The sequence below is a fragment of the Homo sapiens genome, chromosome 2 (genome assembly GCF_000001405.40).
Source record: "Homo sapiens chromosome 2, GRCh38.p14 Primary Assembly".
Taxonomy (NCBI): Eukaryota; Metazoa; Chordata; class Mammalia; order Primates; family Hominidae; genus Homo; species Homo sapiens.
In genome coordinates, this window is record NC_000002.12 from 162,835,978 (window position 1) to 162,842,384 (window position 6,407).

Sequence of the window (6,407 nt, forward strand, 5' to 3'; positions counted from 1 at the left end):
TTTGAATATGCACAGGTTAACTGGATCAAGGTAAAAGTTCCTATTTATCATCCTTAATGTTGTAAGAAGGAGCAAAAGAAACAAGAGGTGTTGCCTATCAACTAAAGCTAAAGAGCCAAGAGACATAACTGTAATAGTTTTAGTTTTAGATATAGTTTTCAACATAAATTTGCTTTGTGGAGTATTTTAAAGTTCAAACAAGTAACACTGTATCTGTATTTCTCGCCTACCAAATGCATACCAATGCAAGCAGTACATTGTTCATCTTTCTCTAATTCCTTAAAGAAAGGAGCATCTAAGACTGATTTGTAGCATTTTAACCTCAGTGACATTATGTTACTGTACTTTTGAAGAGATTACAGTACCCTTATTCAAAGAAAAAATTGTTTCTACCAGACCACTAATCAGAATACCCATATATGTTGGATCCCAAAATACTATATGCAAAGCATATATCTACAATTGAACATTTTGGGCTTCTTTGCATATGAACTTTTAATAGTCAAAATTTCTTTTCAATGGGATCAAATAGAAGGAATCCTAAATAGAGGAATTTTACCATTTTTGTGATAGTAGGTGACCTCCACTTTCCTCTCTTCTGACCCCAGCAATGCCTGGGCAATTTGGGCAATATCATGCCTCTTGGTCTCGGGTCCATGGAGAAAGTCGCAGGTGCATGGCTTTTGCATGACATCTGGCCTGGAGAAACCAGTCATCTCACAGAACCCATCGTTGCAATAAATGATGGCACAGTTCTGCACTCTGGCATTTGCAATGATAAATTTTTTATCTGTAATAAGAAGACAGTATGGCATCTTTGAAAAAGCTTCCACAATATTCTCCGTAACACTGAAGCAATTTGTTGCATAATAAGAGCTCTGAAATGCAGGTGCCTCCCCAAATTACTAATCTCTCCAGCCCTTATGAAAAAAGAAAACACAAGAAACCCCACAAACTTTAAATGTGAGATTAATGATCCTAAGTAATTTTAACAGAAAGTATTAAGAAACCACTCTTAAAATTGCAAGAATAGAATTTCCCAAATAGACTAGTTCTCAAGCCCTGCAACTGCGGGGGTTCCTAGTGGACACTCAGACAAGCAGCTGCCCATTGATATTTTCAGAATGTCATTTAATTGTAATGTAAATATTTTCAAAGTCAAACAGTGAAACATTCTGTAGTTGTCAGATTTCTCATTTCAACCTTGGCCCTTTGAATACAACTTTCTCAAAGTAGTTATTATTCTTTGGCTTCTCCCTATCTCTCTTAGGCATGTTACACACATCATGTTAAAAACAAAGGCAACTAGCTTTAGTAATGAAACTACTTCATATTTAATAGCAATTCAACAAGGCAAAGATTCACATTTTCATAATATATATTTCCCAAAAGAAAAATATTTACACACACACAGTAAATATCATGACAACCTTTTTACTTTTACTTTGGGAGATCCTTGAAGTTTTCTGTAGTAGCAGGAATTCTTAATATAAAGAGCTTATTAATTTACATCACAGATTGTATTTACTATTTCCACATAGATTGTGAAGCAGGATATACAAGTTTAGTTTGTACGCAAGGTACCAGATCCTCACATCACTAAATGCAGTGCTGAAATAACCGCAAAATATATGGCATACAAATGTATTAATATAGTTTTAAGAAAAGACCGAAGATAAGTTAACAAATACAGGATTTTAAATTAATATATTTATATAGCAACAATTTATTCCCTATATTTAGTCCACATGAGAACATTAAATTTCTGTGCATTCAGTCTTTGTGGGATTTACTTATTACACTTCAATTTTTAAATTTCTAGATGGAAATTTTAAGGGGATAATAAAAGAATAGAAATATTATTTTGAATAATGAGCCATTTGCATCGGGAACCAGCACAGATGAGATACTGCTTTTCCAAATTACCCTGCTTAGGATATATTTGCATTGATTCAATACAAAATTTAGCTTCTATAAATTAATAGCAAGCAAGCATCCGTGTCATACCACTGCTTTGCAGTTTAACCAAGGTAAAATATAGTTTGCATAGTCATTTACATCGCTACTACCATTTACATTCTCTTGTTCGAATAGTATGGTCTGCTCTGCTTCCGACTTTCAGAAAGTCTACAGTAAAACAGCCTCAAAATATAAACCCATGTTATCCTAGCACGTTCCCTTTAAGATAGTAGAATAGTAGGAAATTAAGTAGCAAGGCAGATAATGGAGCAGTGGTAGAGGAGGATCAAATTGCCTCCTATAATGGAGACCGTAATCTAAAATGTAAATCAAAATTAATATCAGAAGAACACTCCCGCTGCCATTCGAACCTCCTGGCTCGGTTTCACAGCCTCTTAAGTTGACAGAGCCTGGAGTTGCCGGTCTCCCCACCTTGGAAGCGGTGGACGCCAAGTGCACTAACAAGGCAGAAAGCGAGGGCGAGAGAAGAGAACAAACGAACTTACTTTGCCCTTCAAATTTCCGAATGATGGTCCCCAGAAATGTATTTTGTGGTGCCACATGCCCCCTGCGCACAGGCATGTTGGCCCCGGTCTTCCGAGGAGCGCTCCCCCGGAGCTCTGGAGTTCTCCCGGGATCTCTCCTCGGCTAGAGCCCAGGCCAGCGCGCGAGCCGCTCTTTGTGGCAGAGCATCCTCTTTTGAAACCAGAATTCTCTTCCCATTAGCACCACTTCTAGACACCCGCTTTCCCCACCGGAGTCCAATCCATTCCCCTCACCTTCCGGAGGGGGCCTCGCACCGGACTGCCGCGGGTGAGAGGGTTTGGGGGTGGGGAACGGGAAGGAGGCGGGGTGAGGGGAGGTGGCGGGGGAGGGAAAGAGGGAGGGAGCTGTGGGGGTGGGGTGGGAAGGGGGCGGGGAGTCACAAGGGCAATCGATCTGTTTCTCTTCTCCCAAACAGCGCCAATTTCCCAGTGCAAATGGGCTTAACCTGGCGGTTGCCCAGAGCAGTAAGGAATGGCTGAGGGGGGATGGAAGACTTGTGCCGGTTTTGCTGGAAGGAGAGAGAGAAAAGGAGGCTGGGGGTCGGCGGGGTTGACGTTTCTATCCCCGCCCTCTCCCCCTAACACACACACACACACACACACACACACACACACACACACACACACACACACACACGCTCTCTTTATCTTGGTAGCTTGGGCGCCGCCACAGCTCGGATTACTCAAGCGTGCTTTAGCGGAAGCCAGCCAAGAAATCTCCAAAACTCAGTGACAAACAGCTACTCTGGGAAGGTGATCTCTACGGCCACCGGCCACAGGGCTCCGTCCCTGAGCTCCTCACGCCGCAGTAGCTAAAGCACCCTTAGCTGCAAGGAAAACACAGGTGGGAAAACAGTTTCTTAATGAGGAATATTTGTAAGCTCTGTTGGCGCTCAGCAGGTTGAAGATTGACAATGAACCACCTAAGGGTGCAGATTTAGCCTCAGGGTGCAGCTCGGATCCCTGGGTTCAGCGGAGGTGGGTGCCGAAGCCCGAACTGAATTGGCACGCAGGTCCCTGCCCAGCGCTGAGCCGCGCCTCGGGAAAGACTGAAAGCTGCCCGTGCCGCTGAGCATGCCCAGTTTCTGCCTGAGTCCCTGGAGGGTTGCAAGATTGGGGGTTGATTTGGTCTCCAGGTGCCGTAGGCTGCGAGGAAGATGAGACGGCCAAAGATGAGAAGGCCAAAGATTGCGAGCGACTAGTACAAAAGAAGGAAAGAGTTTGAAATAGGTGAGGCTGAGCGCCAGGGGGAAGGAACAAAAGGTGGGTGGGGCTAAGAGTTACCAGCCTTGGCTGTGACCTCCGATGCCACTCATCTCCGGAACACACTAGCCACATTCTGCTCTCCTCCACCATCTCTAAGGAGCCATCTCATATAGGATAGAAAAGGGTTCAAGGGGCGGAATAGAGTCCTCTTCCTTCTCGCTTCTCAAAGGCTGCCAGCGTGGGAATCTCAGGGTATACAGACACTTCTGTTCAAATAGTCCTCCTGGAGACTTAGGAAAATAAATGTGACAAGCTGTGCCAGGAAAGCGTGTTTTTGAAGCTGTTTTTCTAGTTTTTCTTGGTTCTTTTCCCTTCATTTTTGTTATCTTCCCCCCACCCACCCCCTTGAACCTAATAGCCCCTCTCCACGCCCCTTTCTCTAAATGGAATTTGCTAAGATTTCAATCTACTCAAGCAGAACACAGATGAATCTCTCATTTCCTGCTGGAGATAAAGGTCCAGAGATTCCTGTCAACACATGCAGTTGCATGATAGAATTTGGGGGGGTTCTTGCAGCTCATTAGCCTGCTATGCCTGTGCCTTGAGTCAGCTGGGTTCTTATTTTCTCAGTTACAGCTTCAAATCTGAAGTGAAATAATGAGAGTAGAACTGAGAAGGGCTGAGAAGCAGGGTTAGTTTAGGAAGGTGAATCAGGTGGGTTGCAATAACCAGGAAGTAAGCATAACAACTTTTATGTTCCAAAACCACAACCCCCCAAATCTAAACAAAATCAAGAACCGAAGTAATTCTTCCTCTTTAATATCAGAGTAATGAAAATGAATCAAACGGAAGACGTTCCTAGGAATGTTGAATTTTATGGCTAATAAGGTTTACTTTAAAAGTAAGCAGCCAATGAAAACCTCTAGGCTCTTCTAGTAGCTTGAGCTTCCCTGAGTCTTTACGGTTGCCTCTGTGGGAATATAAAAAGCCATACATCGCTAGTGTATGGTTTTATTTTCTTCTGAAAAAATATATAAGTAGATCATTCTGTCATACTGTTCGCTAGCTGCAGCTGTGCTTGGGAGACGACAAGAGTTTCTCTCCCAGGTGCTGAACGTGTGGAGCTATCCATGGTTCTGAATCCGACTCAGCAGTTGGCAACTCTTCTCTGCCTACAACCAACCAGGGACAATAGAACTACAAACTCAGGCAAGTGGCCCTAATGTATCCACATGCACCACTCTTCTTCACCAAATACCCAAAGAAATACAGAGTGCTTTTTACACCCATTTCTAAAACACATTTCTTCTCTACTTAGAGTCTTAACGAAACCCAAGTTCACCTTCCTCCCAAAATATATCAAGAACTCCAGAAAAAAAATGAAGAAACTGCATATTCTGTAGATTGTAATTAAAGTTTAACATATAAAGTTGTATTTTAATTAGGATTTCACGCCATAATAATGTAACAATAAGTTATATAAAGGTCATATAGCTAAACTTTTAAAAAATTACACATAAATTCAGTGAATGAATACTGCTTTAAAGTAAAAGGCATTTTCAAATACAGCTGGAAACACAAAGTTTATCTGTCACATGACAAGATATATTGGCACGCAGAAGGTAATTGTGCATAATGTCTCTAATTATAAGTCTGAAACTAACTTTCAAAGGATATTGATTCTGGAAACCCTTGAATTCCACTTTCCTTCTGGCTTTCTGCTCCCTGAAGTATTCTCTCTTTCTTTACAACTTTCAGAGTGGTCTCTGTTTGTTTGGGTTGGTTAATTAAATATGCGATGGTTAAAGTTCCATTGTCTTTGTTACACAAGTGTGAGCTCTGTGGGCTTTACGCTTTTCCCAATCTCATTTAACTCCAAAATTAGTTCTATTAAGGATTCAGTGTAAAATCATAGAACATTTTATAACCTATGTATTGTAACTGATTGACTGAGCAGAAGATTAAAGGCATCCTGTTTCTAAATTATCCCAGTAATCATGTTCATACATTATACATTGGAACAGTGGAGAAAGTACATTAATCTATATTTGGCCAATAATAGAATAAAACCAGTGGATGGTAATCATGACTACTTGTTGGCTGGAAAATTATCCTCCCCCACTCCACTCTCTATAAAAGCTAACTTTATATTTTGTGTGAAGACCCAGTTTGACAACTTTTTAATATTTTGGGGCCCTTTTGGAAGTCCAAATATTGAACCAAGCACATAAAATTCAACGTTGAAATCCTATCATGTATACAGCTTAACACTCAATACAATCTACTTATAGGCAAGGATGCAGGATAGATTGATATATTCTTAAAATTACCTAATTATCCATATTTCTTTAAAATTAAGTCATTTAGTATTTACATATGGAAAAATATTTTAAATGCCTACCACATAATAACAACTCAATAAATTTTACACACACAAAATTTTCCATAGAAGCTCACAGAATTAATGAAACTCTGCTTAAGAAACCTACATTAGAAATCATTCAAGCAGCATATATTATTGCAGCCATGACTATGGGATATTTAAGTGGCATAGAATAGAAACTTTTTAATATCAAATTAAATAATGTGATATGTTTCACATTTTTGAGATGCTGCAGAATATAAATCAATGAAATTAATGTAAAGTTCTCTCAATTTAGCAAAACTAGTTTAATGATCTGATGACCACAGTGCACA

General features: G+C 40.5%; 1 protein-coding gene across 7 annotated transcripts in view; it reads right to left on the reverse strand.

Moving 5' to 3' along the window:
- Nucleotides 1-2,790, reverse strand: part of KCNH7 (potassium voltage-gated channel subfamily H member 7) — a 467,361-nt gene extending 464,571 nt beyond the window's left edge. For all 7 annotated transcript variants that reach the window (XM_017005220.3, XM_017005219.3, NM_033272.4 and 4 more), the window contains exons 1-2: nucleotides 2,466-2,790; nucleotides 560-790 (exon numbers count right to left, since the gene is read on the reverse strand). In XM_017005220.3, coding sequence (XP_016860709.1) covers nucleotides 560-790; nucleotides 2,466-2,541 — 307 coding nt within the window. In that variant the 5' untranslated portion in view covers nucleotides 2,542-2,790. The remainder of the gene's footprint in view (nucleotides 1-559; nucleotides 791-2,465) is intronic.